The sequence below is a fragment of the Homo sapiens genome, chromosome 13, assembly GCF_000001405.40.
Source record: "Homo sapiens chromosome 13, GRCh38.p14 Primary Assembly".
In the NCBI taxonomy this organism is placed as follows: domain Eukaryota; kingdom Metazoa; phylum Chordata; class Mammalia; order Primates; family Hominidae; genus Homo; species Homo sapiens.
In genome coordinates, this window is record NC_000013.11 from 66,004,252 (window position 1) to 66,024,484 (window position 20,233).

The window sequence follows — 20,233 nt, forward strand, 5'->3', positions numbered from 1 at the left end:
ACTGTTATTGTTATTACTATTTCTGGATAAACTGTGACCTGATACTGTGGTCTGGTGAAAACATAAGCCTGACCACAGAGCACTAATCTTAGCAGCTAGTCCTACAACAATAGGTGATCATAACAGCTGTCTCCTACACCTAGCCACAAAATCAGGTTTGTCTGGAAGCTTTCCATCATTAAAGAGAGATCCCCTACATGGAAACAGACCTAAACTGATCCTACATGTGTTTACACACAGATTTAGAGTGCTCGTTTTCACCAGGCTGATGCTTTTATTAAACAACCTACTATGAGTTAACCAAGGATGAAAAGATTGATCCTGATTTACAGATGGCTTTTTGTTGTATGCCAATATTAACTGAAATGGACATCTGTGCCACCATGTTTTTTTTGTTTGTTTTTTTTTTTTGTTTTTGAGACAGAGTTTCTCTTCTGTTGCCCAGGCTGGAGTGCAATGGTGTGATCTTGGCTCACTGGAACCTCTGCCTCCTGGGTTTAAGCAATCCTCCTGCCTCAGCCTCCTGACTAGCTGGGATTACAGGTGCCCCCCACCATGCCCCACTAATTTTGTATTTTAAGTGGAGACAGAGTTTCACCATGTTGGTCAGGCTGGTCTCGAACTCCTGACCTCAGGTGATCCACCCGCCTCAGCCTCCCAAAGTGCTGGGATTACAGGTGTGGGCCACTGTGCCCGGTCTACCATGTTTCTTAAAACAAATTTTCTGATCAGTAATGGAGCCAGAAAAACAAACAAACAAAAACTCCCAGTTGACAGATTTATATTATCCATTTATCTTCAAGGAGGAACGGCCTATAGTGAGAATATATATAAAATCTGGGGAAAAGGCCAATGAGTTGAATGATTAGAGGCTTCAAAGAGGTTTCGTAGAAATTCTGTTTTTTTGTTTTTGTTTTTTTGGTAGGGACGGGGTTTCACCATGTTGCCCAGGCTAGTCTCGAACTCCTGGGCTCAAGCGATCTGCCTATCTCGGCCTCCCAAAGTGCTGAGATTACAAACTATATTCAGGGTATACAGGATATATTCACAGCACTTTCATAGTTTTTATAGGCTCACCTGTAATCTCAGCACTTTAGGAGGCTGAGGAAGGCAGATCACTTGAGCCTAATTACCTAGAAATATGAGTACTAAATGTATGCTTACCAGATAATATCACTGGAAAAGTAATTTTCAAAGTCAGGCAGGAAGAAGAGTTTTTTGTGTGTGGATTTTAGTTATTTTCCAGCAGGCTATCCAGAGCTTGCTCAATGGCATCATGAATAAAGTGGTGGCTATAGCATCAATTATAAAGACAGTAATGGCTATCTCATCGCAGTCAACTTATTGAAGCTGACATGCATTGCTGAATGTCCAGTTTACCAACGGCAATTAACCATAACCTGAGGAGATCAGCCAGCTTTCTTGTGGCCAGTTGCTACTTTGAACACTTCGGTCATAGTTGGGGTAGCAAATTGTTTTTTTCTAGAGTAGACGTGTATTACATGTTTAATTTGCTTTCCCTGCCTATACCTCCGCTGAAAACACCAATATCCCTTATTAAGTAAACAATTACATAAAAAAGTGTTTCCCACACAAAATTTCTTGTGTCCAAGCAACTTTATGTCAGAATTTAAAAGAAGTTAAAATGTAAAAAATAAAAAATCCTACCTTTAAGTTATTCTCTGTTTATTTCATTTTCTGATTCAAGCCAGAAACACAATGAGCCAGGAAGAGCCTTGGAAACTATGCCTACAAGATCAACCCCACTTGATATAAGAGTTTTTGAAGGGCAAGATTTGATAGCAAAAAGACCCAGCGTTGTCACAAAGACCCACTCCCAAATCGTTTGCATTCTGTTCTCCTGAATCTCAGCTCTGTTGCTCTAAAACATTTTAGTATTGAAAGAAATGTCTTCCACCGGAAATACCAAAACATAATTTCATAGTTTCATTGAATGGCAAAGTTAAGCTGCCACGTGGATAATTCAGACATTTCATAGAGTTAAAGTAGATGTATTTTTAAAGGGCATAAGTATTAGCTAAGGGAACTGTCAAGTGCAATAACGATACTTTTTCTATTCTTCAGGGTTTTTCATCACTGCCTTCAATTCAGTGAGGTTCCTAATCATCTTTCCACTAAATCGACTTTTGCTAAAGTTAGTATAACTCAGTTTCTGTCGGTTGCCATTAAAAAATTTTAACATACAGAGAGGAAGTGTGCACAGGCTATTTCAATATCCCTTTCCTGTTTTTTGAAGTGTTTATGAAAATATATTAATATATGCTTATTTAAGTTCAGAAAATTACAGAACATCAATGAAACAATCGACTACCAACTTCCTAGGAACACAGGTGCAAAAGCATATACACAGACAACAGTAAAAATGAGAAGATTCCTTGCAAAGGAATGTCAAATTCTTTTCTTGGCCAACAGGAATAATTCTATGTTATGATAAGGCATGTAATCTAAGTATATTATCCTTTGCATCATTCAAATTCTAAGTACTTCTAGAAATTCTTTAAGCTGCCTATTACTTTTCTTAAAAATTTAGCGTAAGAAAATTTTGTTGTCTGCAACCAAAAACAGTGCCCGATATGCTATTTTGTTAAAGAAATGGTTGTGCGTTGAGGGGGCAAGCGGGGAGAACAAACTAAAATAAATGAGAAATTAGAGTGTATTCCTGACATCCTGACGCAGAGTTTGAAGGCAATGAGGATTTGGTTACCATCATTTGAAAAAGCACTGGTAATCTCTGGCACACAGTGGTGGAACATTATTTAAATTATTAACCGTGGATACTTGGAATAAAATGCCCATTGAGGCAAAACTTCAAGTGGCTGTTGCAATGCATGCATTTGAAAGTCTGCAATGTGAGCTAGCTGCTTCTAAATTTGATGGAGAGCTTAAAGAAAATTACTCAATTAAGTTGTTGAACAAACACATGGTCAGAGAACCACTAGATTTTTTTCATGTAACAGTATAGTTCAAGTAGGTAAATATCAGATGTGGAGCCTGAACATGGTGGTACTGAAATATAAGATATATTCAGAGCATTTTCATCATTTTTTGTATAAAAACTGGGACATTGTTTAAGAAGAGTGGGAAATTAAGAAGTGTACTAGAGGTATTTAATCTCTAAATACCCCAAATGCACGGACTTCATTGAGACTCCCTTCCTAGTGAAAACAACCCTTTTCCCCACATTGAATGATTATTTTGCTGAAAACTGTGTAGTAACCACACCGGAGGATAATTAATTATTTCACAAAGGGATGTCAGTTTTCCTCATGTCCAACTTCATACCACTCTACATTGCCTCCAGACCCTACCTGGGTGCACATTTGAATTATCTGGGAACTTTAAAATATTCTGCTGCCTTGACCAATTAAATCAGATTCTGAGTGGCGGCCCAAGCATCTGTCTCTTTTCAAAGTTTTCCCCAGGGGTAGGCTTACTTCACCCCTCAAATGTATATGATCTATATATGTACACACACACACACACACACACACACACACACACACTTTCTTATTTGTATTGTCAAAAACATGAAAATGTGTAGGAATAAGTCATATGGGTATGAATAGATCCAGATAAATTCATTGATATGGGCATATTTATTAATAGTTCTGGATTTCGTGTATTAGCTAAATCATTTGGGAATAGTTTTAACTGTTTGTTAAACTGCCTGTTCTATATAAAAAAGATAAAGATGAAAAATATTGCCATTAAAATGGTCTCGTCGATTTTATTGTTTTTGGTGGTATTTTGAATTTACAGTGGTCAAGAAAGTAGTACTTAAGTACCAGAAGCACCATTAGCAGCATAGTCAGTTATTTGGGACAGTTGGTTGCAGAGAGATCTTTGATAGTAGCTAATTGATCATAGAATCTCTAGAACAAAAAGACATGGGCATTCTATTAATAATTTATTTTAATTAAAAAATTCTAGGACAGAAAATAAAAGCCTTCTATGACCCATATCAATACAGAGTCATGGATCTACCCAGCAGCAATATTCGAGTCACGTCAGTACAAACACAAAGAGTATATTGAATGAAGTTAAGACAGAGGTGTCTTGAAGAATTTCCCACTAATAACATCTCAAAGATATGTTGTAAATTTCACTTTCTGTTTTCTCCAAAGAATTTCACTTCCTGTTTTCTCCAAAGAATGCTTGGAGTTTCTGTGCATTGGGAAGAGAAAACATTCAGAACCCTGCCACATTATTATTGAACATGGGTTCTGAGTTAACCTTACTCAAGGCCACGAATGCTTATGTTCATCTTTTGGACAAAATAAGGGGCTTATTGGTGTCAGGTTGCTAACTCAGTCTCACAGGGTCTATGAAAAATATAGTTTTACTTCTCTCCTATTTTTAAATATATAGTTAGAATATATATATACTTTAACCTGGGAAAAATTCTCACTTAAACTTCATCGACACATGGGTGAAAACTAGTAAGGTTAAAAAAAAGTAGATTTACTTTTCCATACCAAACAGTAAACTAAGAGCAGTACTTTTCCATACCAAACAGTAAACTAAGAGCAGTGCAATAACTTTGAGAAAATGATTACAGTTTGCGTCGCCATTGAAGATCTGGAATAAATAGCAGTGCTGTTTCTTATCACAATCTATTTAACTTTGCTTGCACTGGATACAGAAAAATGACAATGAATTATCATAAGCTTGATCATTGGTGACTCCATCTGAAGCTACTATTACAGATGTGATTTGTTTTTTGGAGCAAGACCACAGAGTGCCAAGAACCAAGAATGTTATTCATGTAACAGGTTCTACTTTCTTTATTCTAAAAGGCAGTGCATCAAAAGACATTTGCTTTCACCTGGCAAGTTTAGTAGTACATCTTTACCATGTTTTGGGGGCTATGTTTGGTCTCTGACACTGCAATGTAAGTTATTCTGCCAAGAACTTGAACACCTATCGTTTTGAGAGGTGACAGCATGCTGGCAGCCCTCACAGCCGTCGCTCGCTCTCCGCGCCTCCTCAGCCTCAGCGCCCACTCTGGCTGCGCTTGAGGAGCCCTTCAGCCCGCCACTGCACTGTGGGAGCCCCTCCCTCGGCTGCAGAGGCCGGAGCAGGCTCCCTCAGCTTGCCAGGAGGTTTGGAGGGAGAGGCGCGGCGGGGGGGGAACCGGGGGCTGCGCGCGCGGTGTTTGAGGGCCAGCGTGAGTGTGGGCGTGGGCTTGGCGGGTCCCACACTCGGAGTCGGCCCAGGGCAGTGAGGGGCTTAGCACCCGGGCCAGCAGCTGCAGAGGGTGCACCGAGTCCCCCAGCAGTGCCGGCCCACCGGCACCGCGCTCGATTTCTCACCAGGACTCCCAGGGGCTTAGGAGTGCGGGTGCACAGCGCAGGACTGGCAGGCAGCTCCATCTGCGGCTCCAGTGCAGAATCCACTGGGTGAAGCCAGCTGGGATCCTGAGTCTAGTGGGGACTTGGAGAACCTTTATGTCTAGCTAAGGGATTGTAAATACACCAATCAGCACTCTGTGTCTAGCTCGGGGTTTATGAATGCACCAATCAGCACTCTGTATCTAGCTAATCTGGTGGGGACTTGGAGAACCTTTATGCCTAGCTAAGGGATTGTAAATGCACCAATCAGCACTCTGTGTCCAGCTTGAGGTTTGTGAACACACCAATCAGTGCCCTGTGTCTAGCTCAAGGTTTGTGAATGCACCAGTCAGTGCTCTGTGTCTAGCTAATCTAGTGGGGACTTGGAGAACTTTTGTGTCTAGCTCAGGGATTGTAAACGCACCAGTCAGCACCCTGTCAAAATGGGCCAATCAGCTCTCTGTAAAACAGACCAATCAGCTCTCTGTAATATGGACCAATCAGCAGGATGTGGGTGGGGCCAGATAAGGGAATAAAAGCAGGCTGCCGGAAGCCCCAGCGGCAACCCCTTTGGGTCTTGTTCCACGCTGTGGAAGGTTTGTTCTTCGCAATAAATTTTGCTGCTGCTCACTCTTTGGGTCTGCACTGCATTTATGATGTGTAACACTCACTGTGAAGGTCTGCAGCTTCACTTCTGAGGCCAGCGAGACCAGAAACCCACTGGGAGGAATGAGCAACTTTGGATGGGAGGAACGAACAACTGCAGATGTGCCGCCCTCAGAGCTGTAGCACAGTGAACGTCTGCGGCTTCGCTCCTGAAGCCAGCGAGATCACGAACCCACCAGAAGACAAAATCTCTGAACACGTCCGAACATTAGAAGGAATGGACTCCGGACACGCCTTTTTTTTTTTTTTTTGAGACAGTGTTTTTCTCTGTCGCCCAGGCTGGAGTGTAGTGCAATCTCGACTCACTGCAAGCTCTGCCTCTCGGGTTCATGCCATTCTCCTGCCTCAGCCTCCAGAGCAGCTGGGACTACAGGCGCCCGCTGCCACGCCCGGCTGAATTTTTTTGTATTTTTAGTGGAGACGGGGTCTCACGGTGTTAGCCAGGATGGTCTCGATCTTCTCATCTGCCCGCCTGGGCCTCCCAAAGTGCGGGGATTACAGGCGTGAACCACCGTGCCCAGCCACTCTTTAAGAACTGTAGCAGTCACCGCGAGGGTCCGCGGCTTCATTCTGGAAGCCATTGAGACTGAGAACCCGCCAATTCCGGACACAATTTCATAGTACATCAGTATGGTCCAATACAGGTAGGTGGTGTCCTGATTATAACACTGTACAAGCAGGAAATTGATGGTGTCCCACATGCCTTGTGCAAAGGTCAACCTTAAATAAGTTTTAGGAGTCTTAGTGAAATTTCTATGAATCAAATGGAATGTGGTATATGACGTAACTATATCTTTAAAATTGAAGAAAAGAACAAGTGAAGAAACGTTATATTTGTTAGGTCTTTTAGGTTCTGGAGGCAACGTATGCCAGCTATAGGATTCTTTAGTATACAATTTACCAAGTAATGTGTAAGGCTGTAAGGCTGACAGATTTGACTTGATCCCAGAAACAGCAGTCCAGGTAGTTCTGGTTGCAACAAATGCAACTCTGCCTTTCGTTCCTTGTGATAGAGTAGCCTCTGGCGCTTATAGAGTTTGTGGCGGATAGACTTAATCTTTTAAGTAATATGTCCTGAGTACTCAGCCCTTTTAATGACTGAACACCTATTCGTGTGGGAAAAAAAAGTGAATATATCACCTAAATGGCCATTATGAATTGGGTTTTACCTGATTTTTTTCAAGTCACATAGTTGGGTATACCCACCAGAATCCATCATAAGGAGCAGTAACTTGCCATCTTTGAAATATAAAACGTTATTGAATGAGAATTCCTCCTCCCTACTTATTATGTTTGTCCGTCACACCGTCCACAAACTTACTAAATGCTTTATTTTCTGACACACTGTTCCACAAAATTCTATTTCTGATCAGGAATATAATTTTATTGCAAGAGACTAGGGCAGTTATTTAACACTCATGAGACATTAGTTTTATTGGATATGCTATTGCTCATATATGTAATAAACAAACTGTGTAAAACAAATAATACACCAACATAGGCATGGAACCAGCTAAGAGAAAATATGTCACGAAACACTGTCCTGGGTGACACTGCTCATCTAGTCTCACATAGGAGATACCAGTGCTGTTTCTCTTATTCAATAAACAAAAGACTTGGCTTAGTAGTGGTATCTTACACTATTATGTCTCAAGACACCAGATTAATGCTACATTATTTGGGCAATTTTTTTTTTTTTGAGATGGAGTGTAGTTCTGTTGCACAGGCTGGAGTGCAGTGACGAGATCTCAGCTCACTGCAAGCTCTGCCTCATGGGTTCACGCCATTCTCCTGCCTCAGGCTCCTGAGTAGCTGGGACTACAGGCACCCACCATCACGCCCGGCCAATTTTTTGTATTTTTTTTTTTAGTAGAGACAGGGTTTCACCATGTTAGCCAGGATGGTCTCGATTTCCTGACCTTGTGATCCGCCCGCCTCCGCCTCCCAAAGTGCTGGGATTATAGACATGAGCCACCGCGCCTGGCAATGTGTTTATTTTCACTAGAGATTTGCAGTTTCATGATATATATATTTTTCAACTTTTATTTTAGATACAGGGAGTACATGTGCAGGTTTGTTACATGGATACATTGTACCAAGGTACTGAGCATAGTACCCAATAGGTGGTTTTTCGACCTGCACCATCCTCCGTTCCTCCACCCTCTACTAGTCCATAGTGCCTATGGTTCCCATGTTTATACCCAGGTGTGCTCAATTTTTAGCTCCCACTTATAAGTGAGAACATACTATTTTTGGATTTCTGTTTCTGCATTAATCCATTTAGGATTATGGCCTCCAGATCCAGCCATGTTGCTGCAAAGAATATAATTTTATTCTTTTTTATGGCTGTGTAGCATTTCATGGCGTATATGTACCACATTTTCTTTATCCAAGCCACCATTGATGGGCACCCAAGTTGATTCCATGTTGCAGATAGCATGGCAGTGAATATGAGTGCATGTGTCTTTTTGGCATAATCTATTTTCTATTTTCCTTTGGGTATATACCCAGCAAATTATATCCATGACCATATCAAAGTGAATTAATATGGAAAGTAGAATAAAATTAAGGTTTAGATTTAGAGACTCCTAGTTTATCAATTTACGTTATGTCTTATTTTAAAGAAAGTTTTCTAACTCATCTAATCCTAGGTTTTCTTAACTTCCCAAAAGTGAAATTAAAACAAACCTCATAACCTGCCTTCAAAATATACTACAATGCTATAATCACAATAACATAGTACTAGCATGGAAACAGATGTATTGACCAATGGAACAGAATAAAGATCCCAGAAATAAATCCACATATTTACCATCAATGGATTTCAAATACAGATGCCAAGAACACACAATAAGGAAAGAACAGTCCCTTTATTAAACAGTGTTGGGAAAATTGGATATCCACATGTAGAAGAACAAAATTAAAATCTTATCTTGTGCCACATAGAGAAGTCAACTCAAAATAGATTAAAGACTTAAACATGAGTCTTTAAAGTTTAAGACTACTAAAAGAAAACATAGGAAAAAAGCTTCATAACATTGGTCTGGGCAATTATATTTTAAATATGAATTCAAACGCACAGTCAGCAACAGCAAAGATAGACAAATGGAAATACTTCAAACTAAAATGCTTCTGTAAAGAAAAGAAAACCCAACATTCAAAAAGGAGAGAGATAATCGAAGGAATAGGAAAAAATATTTGCAAACCACACATCTTGTAAGAGATCAATATCCAAAAAATACATAAATAACTCAAATAGTACCTAAAAAAGAAATAACTGATTTAAAATTGGGCAAAGGATCACAATAGACAATTCTCAAAGGAGGTCATTCACAGTATTTTTTAAAAAAGCTCAATGTCACTAATCATCAAGAAAATGCAAATTAAAATTACAATGAAATATCACCTCACAGCTGTTAGAAAGGCTGTTATCAAAAGATGAAAAACAACAAGTACTGGTGAGAATATGAAGAAAAGGGAATGCTTTCACAGTGTTGATGAGAACGTAAATTAGTATAGCCATTATGGAAAAAAGTATGGAGTTTCCTCAAAAAGTTAAAAATAGAATGACTCTATGATCCAGCAATCCCACTACTGGGTATACATCCAAAGGAAATGAAATCAGGATGGTGAAGATAAATCTGCACTCCCATGTTTATTGCAGCATTTTCACTATTTACAGCAGGCAAGCTGTGAAAATGTTTATCAATGGATGAATGATTTTTTTAAATGTAGTGTATATACACAATGGAATTTTACTGTCTTAAAAAAGAATGTAATCTTGTCATTTACAACAACGTAAATGAACCTGGGGAACATTATGTTAAGTGAAACCAGTCAAGCACAGTAAGACAAACACTGTATGATCTTACTTATATGTGGAGACCAAAACAGTTGAACTCATAAAAACGGAAAGTAAAATAGTGGTTGTCAGAGGCTGGGGTAGGGCTGGGGAAATTGTTGGTCAAAGGATACAAAATTTCAACTGGACAGGAAAAACAAGGTAAAGAGATCTATTTTACAACATGGTGGCTGTAGTTAATAACAAGGTAAAGTATAATTGAAAACCACTAAGAGATTACATTTTAAGTGTTCTTACCACAAAAAAATGATAGATATGTAAGGTGATGCACATGTTAATTCCATTTATCCATTCCACAGTGAAAACATATTTCAAAGTATCATGTTGTACATGGCAAATACATACTTTTCCTTGCCAATTTAAAAAATAAACTAAAGAAAAATTAAAGTATATATATATGTATATATGCATAGACATATAATGTTTGCTAACATTGCTTGGAACACAGCAGACATTTTTTAATTGGTACCTAATGTTATATAACATTTCCTGCATTTTACTTAGGGCAACACCTTGAAACACACTCATTAAATGTTGGGCTGCAAGAAAACTATGCCTTCTGAAATACTTCCTGCTTAATGTTAAAAAACTGCACTCTAATAATTTTAGAACATGTCTATAATTGAGAGTAAAAACACAAAAATGCAGAAAACGACTATTTGAATAGTATATAAAATTTGTTGACCTTCTATCTTGTGCCAAGTACATTTAATATGTTTTTAAATTAATCTTTCCACTACTCAGTGAGATGTCACTGCCTCTTCATATCAAAATCTCAAAACTGTAGAAGAACCCTTATTTTAACCACAGTGTCTTCTCATCTTAGTCACCAGAATTCCTGAGTCACATTTTGATTGAAAAAACTCATGTAAAATAGATGCCCTCATCCCATCTGAAAGCATGAACAAACTTCCTGCCCTACCTCCATTTACTGTCATCCTCCAAAGGTTATCTTCTTTCAGTACAGTTTGAAACAAAGTGTTGTTCTCTTTTTCTGGATCATTACAAATCCTAGGTTTTTGTTTTTCTTTTAGTTTGTTTTTTAACTATATGATCCCAGCACCACCATACACACCTGTTTTTGTTTGTTGTTTCCTGAAAGTAACTGCATAGAATTCCCAGGCTGTCAGTTTTCTTTGCCAGCCCCCATAGTGCCATAATACCACTAAAATAGGGATTTGGGGGAAAATATGTTTTACTGAAGATTTAAGGTACTGGAAAATGTATTATAACTAGAGTTATGATGCTAACTCCAGCTTTTATGAAAACCCCCAAATTTCAGCAGTTTTACATAACAAGTCACAGTTGTCTACACAGTTTTGAGGTGGTGAGTCTTCCGAGTGGCTCTCTACCTATAAGTAATTCTGCAAGCCAGGCTCGATTTACATGGCTGCTTTTTCTTTCCCTGTTGCCCACCACTTCCCATCATCATATACCACATCATTCAGGGAATCCTCTGAATTCATTGCCCCAAAAGCAAAGCAAACATAGAAAATGATATAAAACATGTTACAGCCAAGGTAAGAATAAGTGTATTTCACTTCCATCCACCCAGGAAATGTTTATAATATTAGCTATAAATTTTGAAATGACTTATTTTAAAATGGTTTGCAAACTTTATATGTATACATGCACATACACATCACACACATTCTGGAATCAGTGACCTATCCCATATTAATTCTAAGGAAGGCTGGAAAAAGTAGTTTTCATGTGTGCCCAGGAAGGAAAAAGTAAGATTGTTAAACATCTAGCTAGTTTGTGTTACTGAGTAATCATGGACAATACATGAAACAAGAGAACATTGAATATTACATAACACTCTTCTATGTGTTATGTCTCTCTAGACAATATGGAGCTTCACTAGCTAAGTTCTGCATGAGCCCTGGTCCCCCATCAGGTTTCCAGCATCTGGGTTTTTTTATTTCTCTTCACACTTTCTTCAACACTAGTAGCCACTTCCAAAACTTATGTAACTACATTTTGCAAAGTAATTTAACTCTTATTTTTTCTTAAACTTCTCCCATCTATACACTGTTCTTACAACCATGCCTTGGTAAATTAAAAAGAAACATTGTTTTTCTTAGGCAAAGGAAATATTCTAAGAGGAAATTTTCTGTCCTGCAAAGCCAACCAGCTCAACATGTAGATAGCTTTAAAATAGACAAGTTTTCTCCTTGTCATAGAATCTTTCAAAAGCCCTATACCTTTTTTTTCATAAAGCAAAAGCTGTTTGCAACACCAAGAGGTGGCCTACCAAATGAGAGATATTGATGGAAAGAAACACTCATCATAGTTTTTGTGCCTGTTATTCAGAGGTGCTGTGTGAATTACATGAGATAATATATGCAAATGCTATGACACAAAACAAGTGCTCAATAGATCTTTTTTCCTCTTCTTTTATCCCTTTCTTTCTCCTCTAACTTAGAACCTTTCCTCTTGGTTCTGACTGTCCCAACATGAACTTGACATTTTCAACCCAGCATTTATTATCTTCCCTGGGACATGAGGTCTGGAGATATGGGTCTGAAGTTCTGAAAACACTGAAAATAGTGGGGAAAAAATAGAATATTGTTTTCCCAAATCAGCTTTATTTTAAGGAAAGTTTACTATTTTAAAAAATCTATTCTGTATTAGTACTCTCTAAACACAATTATTTCTTTGACTTATTTTAGTGGTGTTGTTTCTAGAGTGGTAACAGGCACTAGAAATATACTCCCAATGTGGCTTATTAGGTAATGAAATTACTTCCTTAGATTATATATAATATACAATGCTTCAGACAGGTGAGCAGCCTAATTGCTTTTCATGTCTGCTCTATACTGGTCCAGAAACAAAGGGTTGAATCTGTAATTTAATATTTTTCTTCTATTAATTATATTTTTAAAATAACTACTTCAAATACAGAACTCAGTTTTCTTTTCTCCAATGTGGCCCCAGAAATTTACATACTAGTAACTGGAAACAATCACAAACACCTTCTTTCTTATCTATCCCACAATTGTTTAATAAATGTTTGTGAGAAGATAAAATACTGCTAAATTACACTAAACAGAACATTGGTACAGACATGAGAATGGCTGATACATAAGTTTACAAAACTTTGCTTATAACTAGTTTTGATAGCAGTTCTCCCAAATCTCTCTGAAGGGTAGATCAAGTTGTACATATTAGTTCTAGGATGTCTCCATGTGATATACAATCTTGCTCTTTCCTTAGGTTCAAAAATCCCTACCTTTTCATTGAGAGACAATCTCTCACTCGACTCAAAGACTAAACAAGCACATGTTAAGCTTGCCTGCCCAACATCAAATTTCTGGAGACAAAAAAAATTCAAAAATACATGATTGCGCTAGAAAACAAGAAAGAGAAAAGTCTGAGTCTCATAAACTGTGCAGAATTCTTCAAACATAGAAAACAGACAAAATTCGTTTGAAGAAGGAATCTATATCTAAGATATATGCCAGAGTGTATTTCTGTCATTACGGGCTCATGGAGAAAAACAACTGAAAAGGAGGGAAGGGAGGCAGTGTTATCCTAAAAGGTTATTTCTTTGATTAACCTGAAGAGGCAGCCAGGAAATGTTTCCTCTGTATGCTGCTAAGTTGTATCAGGCAATAGCCACTGAGGCATATGCCTGCAGGCAAAAGCACAAAGTTCAGGAATTTGGTGTAGAGAAACAGGGCAATGCCCCAGACAGTGGACGATACTCGGGTAGAATGTGATGCCCATAAGCAGAAGATTTGCTTCTAAAGCACTGTGCCCACTGCCTTCCCTGCCTTTCTACTGCTCCTCTAGTAAGGAGCAAACAAAAGTTGTAGAACCTCCAGCCAAGTCTTTAATCACAAGTAGGCTGGGCAAAGGATCCTAAAGGCAACCTAACAGATATCTCATGTAGGAAAATAAGTACATTTGATAGCCAACACTGCAGAACAACTTGACCAAAAGGACTAACACGAAGAATCAAAATTAATAGAGCAAGCAGAAAAGATGATAATTTTTCTAATTACAGCACTTAGGTAAATTAATGCCATTATGTAATGTTGTAGTTATAGAAGAAAAACCCCAGATTAGGATTTGAAAAAGTCAGTAGGTACAATCAATTGTATGGCAAATTTAAAAAATACCCAATTAATTAAAATGGGAAAAAGCCAAAAATAATTTAGGGCATGTCAAGTACATATACACACATATGTAATTTAATATAAAATGGTTAGCAAGAATAAAAGTTAAGCACCTTTTTATCACAGCATATTAAAACAGGTGCCATTCTCTTGGGGGCAAAAAGTTTCTCAAATTTAACCTGTTTTAGTCTTTTCAAATTACAGATGGATGTCTAAGGCCAAGAGAGAGGCAGTGTTTAGAGTAAGAGCCCTCTGCAGACCATCATAAGGATGCACCAGAAGGGAGCCCTCACATTAAGATTCGGATCACCCCTCTGCAAAACACAACTTTCCCTTCACTCTTCTGTCTACTTTTGTATTGACCAAAGCCTATTCCAGTGGGAGCCTAAGATCCCTTCTTTATCCTGGTAAGACCCTTTTCCAACTCAGCACTCATACTTCCTTTAACGCTGACTTATGTCCTTTTGAACCAATGCCATCATGCCCTTCTTCCTTGTTCATAGCAGTCCAATAAAAAGTCCCAAATCCCAGATCACGCCTCATTTCCAAACCCCTAATTCTACTGTTTTTGTACAACTCTCTTCTCATCTAAAAATTCTTCACTATATCCTCTGAAACTCAATGTAAATTGCCAATATGCTCCTCTTTTCTCCTCCATCTTTTCTTTTTCTTCCTGAATTAACTTCTTGAATTTCTTTGTCTGCCTCTGATGGTACTGCTTCTCCTGAAGCCATTTCAAGATAGGACTTTTCCAGAGTCCTCATCATACTGGATTTGGAGGTACAGTGACTGTTGTTCATTATGGCACTTAGAATATTGCCCTTCTCTGTTCCTTCTGCTTTGACATTCAAATAATCAGATTACACCTCCCATCACAGTTCCTTGAATTGCAGTCATTTACCAATTAAGTTACTTCCCCTTATTCCTTGAAGATTTTAGCCCCAGGGTAATAATTTTTAGCGCATATTTTCTTTAGTAGCTCGACACTATTTCTGTCATAATTTTTCATAACATCAATATCTACACTCATGTTCCTGTCAACATGTTGGCATCTTGGGGTTCTAACTTTCTCTCTTTCAATTATCTTTTCCTCCATTCTATCTTATCCATTCCTTTCTGTGATCCTACTTTGATTTTATCATTACCACAACTTTATTCCCTTTCTAATCAGAAAATGCCTAGCTCTCCTACTGCCATTTCCTATGTTTCTAGCTATTTTCTACAAATACCCCAATTTGAACAATCTCTCAACCCACTTCCATTAATCTGACTAAATTATGCTTGGTCCCTCACTCTCCATGTCTTCTTTTCCTGTCTTACCCAACTTAAATCACATGGTAAACCGTTCTTGTTTCTTTCATATACCCTTCAGTCCACTGGCCCTTGTCTTTTTGTCATAGTCTTTTAGCAAAACAACAATCTTGGTTAAATCTATCTTTCTTCCTGCTCTATGATGAATGTGGCTAGAGGAAAACTCACTCCTAGTGATTCATCTCGTTTTAAATGTAGTAGCTTCTTAGTTCTCGCAGCAGTTTCAATCTATTAGCCAAGTCCATTTTCGTTTGGACTCTTAGCTAGACTCCTACCATCTTAGACAATTCTTTTATTCTTTCTCTTCGCTTTTCAAATTTCCAATGTCTTCTCTCTTAAGTTCATTCTCAGCCAGTGATTGTATTGAATAGTGCATCATGCTCCTCTGAGACACCTTCTGTTTCTTTTTGTTTGTTTGTTTGTTTGTTTGCTTGTTGCTTGGCCCTTGGTTTCAGCGTGCTTTCACTTCAGGTGGCCAGCACCTAGGGCTTTTGTTCAGAGAGCTGTCTCCGATTAATGGAGAGTTTTGCATCAGACGTACTAGGGATTTGTCACTAGGGAAAACAAAGAACCACTGATGCATGTTGTTGTTCAGCTAACTTTCCTTTAGTCAGGGTTACTCTTCAGCATGATTTATACTCCCAAGTTCCCTTACGAAATCAAGTTTCTGGCTGGGCGCTGTGGCTCACGCCTATAATCCCAGCACTTTGGGAGGCTGAGGCAGGAGGATCACGAGGTCAGGAGATCCAGACCATCCTGGCTAACACGGTGAAACCCCGTCTCTACTAAAAATACAAAAAAATTAGCTGGGTGTGGTGGTGGGCGCCTGTAGTCCCAGCTACTCCAGAGGCTGAGGCAGGAAAATGGCGTGAACTCGGGAGGTGGAGCTTGCAGTGAGCCGAGATCATGCCACTGCACTCCAGCCTGGGCAACAGAGCAAGTCTCAAAATTAAATTAAAAATAATAATAATAATAATGAATTTTATCTTAACCTATTTTCCTTTTCAGCTACAATCCCATTTTTCTTATTCTTTGTGCTATGAATGTCCTTGAAAGTATTGTTTCTACTTGCCACTTTCAATTCCTTTTCTCATGAACCATTCCAGTCAGGTTTTTCTTTTTTTTTTACATCACTACCAAGAAAATGCTCTTACTAAAGTTACCAAAGACCTAAAGTAATAGATTCTAAATCCAATCACTATTTCTCAGTCCTTATCTTACTTGACCTATGAGCATCCTTTGATTCAAGTGATCACTCTTCTCCCTTAAAAAAATTTCTCCACTGAGCTTCCAGGGCACCTCACTCACCTGTTTTCCATTAACCTTACAGTTGGTACTTGCTGTCCATCTCTCCAGCTTCTATATTTTAAGTTTATTTTGGCCATGCTCTTTGAATCTCATCTTAAATACATATACTCACGCCTTGGATAATTTCAACTTATCTTCTGGTTTTAAAATCCATTTACATCCTGATGAATTCTAAATTTAAGTTTCTATTATACTTCTTTTTACTTCAAACCCATTTATTCAACTCTTTACTTATTACATGTACTTAGATGTATATAATTATCCAAAATGTAACATATCCAAAACTGAGCCTCTAATATTCCTTTTTAATTTTTTCTTTTCCCACGATAGTTCATATCTCAGCCAATGGCAACTTTACCTTTCCAGTCATGTAGGCAAAAATATTTGAATCATTTTTGACTCACCTTTCTTTTGCCTCTCAAAACCATCAGGAAATTCTCTGGCTTCTCTTCAAAATTCAGAATTAGACCACCTTTCACTTTACAACAAGCTAACAATCTTTCTCATGTGGGTTATTGAAATAACTGTCTCTATTGTCTTTCTTCTGCCTTGTTTTCCATTTCCTCTCAAAATTGCAGCCACTGTGATCTTATTAAAATATAAGCCAGCTCGTGTTATATCTTTGCTCAAAACCATCCAATGTCTTCCCACATCACTCAAAGGAAAATCAGAATATATATATATATATATATATATATATATATATATATAGGCCTTAAAGTACCTACAAGATCTGACCTCTTCCATTACTTCTGAGATCTCATCTTGTACTGCCTCCGTCAAGTACTTTTCTTAACCATAGGTAACATCTTTCAGTTTATCAAACAAGCCAGACACTAAATCCTTCCCTCCCCTCCCCTCCCCTCCCTTCCCCTCCCTCCCTCCCTTCTTGTTTCTCCCTCTTATCCTAAATCAGATTAGTTCTTTATAAAAGGCACTTTGTCATCTAGGACTTCACTGGCTTCCTTGCCGAAAATTTCAGTTCTCCTTCCTACATTGTTTTTATTTCTTAGCACATATCAGTATCTAAAATTCCACATATTTTACTTTTCTGTCTTGTTTATTGTCTATCTATTTCATAGATTTTAAGGATGATGAAGTCCGAGATATCTGTCAGGTGTTTCCACTTATGTATTCCCAGTACCTGGCACAAGATCAGAGCATAATAAATACTAGTTGAATGACTAAACACATGTTAGAAATCATTAACTCTGAGAGGTGGAACACTACAAACTAACATATCAAAACAAAGAAACTTCATTTATATCTTACTGGTGATTTTTTTTCTGAAAAGTAAAAGATGCTCAAGTCACACAAATTATAAGAGCTGAAGTTTGGGCAATTCACCTAATATTCTCTATTAAATTTTTAATATCAGCTATTTAGATTCTAGTATTCCCTTATAACAATCTATTTCTTTGTGATATACGATTATTTATTTTTTCCAAAATTATGAGTATTTGCTCCATGTCAAAATGCACTTCGTTGTGATTATCTCTGTGATGGCGATTGTAATCATTGATCTTTCATGTTACTGTCGTGATTGTTTTGGGGAGCCAACAACTGTACCCATGTAAGATATCAAACTTAACCAATAAATATGAGTATATTCTCAGTGTACCACTAAAGAGCCATTTCCCTATCTGTCTTCCTCTCCTGGGGACTCCCTATTCTAGACACAGTATTGGAATTAGGCCAATTAATAACCCTTCAATGGCCTATAAGCATTCAAGTGAAAGGAAGAGTCACATATCTCTCACTTTAAATCAAAAGCTAGAAATGATTAAGCTCAGTAAGGAAGGCATGTAGAAAGCTAAGAGAGGCCAAAGCGTAGCCCTTGTGTGCCAAACAGCCACGTTGAGAATATGAGGAAAAAGTTCTTGAAGGAAATTAAATGTGCTATTCCAGTGAATACATGCATGATAAGAAAGTGGAACAGCCTTATTGCTGATTGGAGAGAGTTTTAGTGGTCTGGCTAGAAGATCAAACCAGCCACAATATTCCCTTAATAATTGGGAACAATCCTTTCAAAAAACCAGCTCCTGGATTCATTAATTTTTTGAAGGGTTTTTTTTTTTGTCTATTTCCTTCAGTTCTGCTCTGATTTTAGTTATTTCTTGCCTTCTGCTAGCTTTTGAATGTGTTTGCTCTTGCTTTTCTAGTTCTTCTAATTGTGATGTTAGGTTGTCAATTTTGGATCTTTCCTGCTTTCTCTTGTGGGCATTTAGTGCTATAAATTTCCCTCTACACACTGCTTTGAATGTGTCCCAGAGATTCTGGTATGTTGTGTCTTTGTTCTCGTTGGTTTCAAAGAACATCTTTATTTCTGCCTTCATTTCGTTACGTACCCAGTAGTCATTCAGGAGCAGGTTGTTCAGTTTCCATGTAGTTGAGCAGTTTTGAGTGAGTTTCTTAATCCTGAGTTCTAGTTTGATTGCATTGTGGTCTGAGAGACAGTTTGTTATAATTTCTGTTCTTTCACATTTGCTGAGGACAGCTTTACTTCCAACTATGTGGTCAATTTGGAATAGGTGTGGTGTGGTGCTGAAAAAAATGTATATTCTGTTGATTTGGGGTGGAGAGTTCTGTAGATTGATAGAACGCTAGCAAGACCAATAAAGAAAAAAAGAGAGAAGAATCAAACAGATGCAATAAAAAATGATAAAGCGGATATCACCACCGATCCCACAGAAATACAAACTACCATCAGAGAATACTACAAACACCTCTACGCAAATAAACTAGAAAATCTAGAAGAAATGGATAAATTCCTTGACACATACACTCTCCCAAGACTAAACCAGGAAGAAGTTGAATCTCTGAATAGACCAATAACAGGATCTGAAATTGTGGCAATAATCAATAGCTTACCAACCAAAAAGAGTCCAGGACCAGATGGATTCACAGCCAAATTCTACCAGAGGTACAAGGAGGAACTGGTACCATTCCTTCTGAAACTATTCCAATCAATAGAAAAAAAGGGAGTCCTCCCTAACTCATTTTATGAGGCCAGCATCATCCTGATACCAAAGCCTGGCAAAGACACAACCAAAAAAGAGAATTTTAGACCAATATCCCTGATGAACATCGATGCAAAAATCCTTAATAAAATACTGGCAAACCAAATCCAGCAGCACATCAAAAAGCTTATCCACCATGATCAAGTGGGCTTCATCCCTGGGATGCAAGGTTGGTTCAATATACGGAAATCAATAAATGTAATCCAGCATATAAACAGAACCAAAGACAAAAACCACATGATTATCTCAATAGATGCAGAAAAGGCCTTTGACTAAATTCAACAACCCTTCATGCTAAAAACTCTCAATAAATTAGGTATTGATGGGATGTATCTCAAAATAATAAGAGCTATCTATGACAAACCCACAGCCAATATCATACTGAATGGGCAAAAACTGGAAGCATTCCCTTTGAAAACTGGCACAAGACAGGGATGCCCTCTCTCACCACTCCTATTCAACATAGTGTTGGAAGTTCTGGCCAGGGCAATTAGGCAGGAGAAGGAAATAAAGGGTATTCAGTTAGGAAAAGAGGAAGTCAAATTGTCCCTGTTTGCAGATGACATGATTGTATATCTAGAAAACCCCACT

The 20,233-nt window shown here is 38.2% G+C and overlaps 1 long non-coding RNA gene across 1 annotated transcript in view; it reads left to right on the forward strand.

The window, feature by feature from the left end:
* Window positions 1-6,529: 6,529 nt before the first annotated feature.
* The window catches only part of LOC105370245 (uncharacterized), a 79,468-nt gene continuing 65,764 nt past the window's right edge, over window positions 6,530-20,233 (forward strand). The window contains exon 1 of the long non-coding RNA XR_942035.1: window positions 6,530-6,661. This is a non-coding gene — a long non-coding RNA (uncharacterized LOC105370245). The remainder of the gene's footprint in view (window positions 6,662-20,233) is intronic.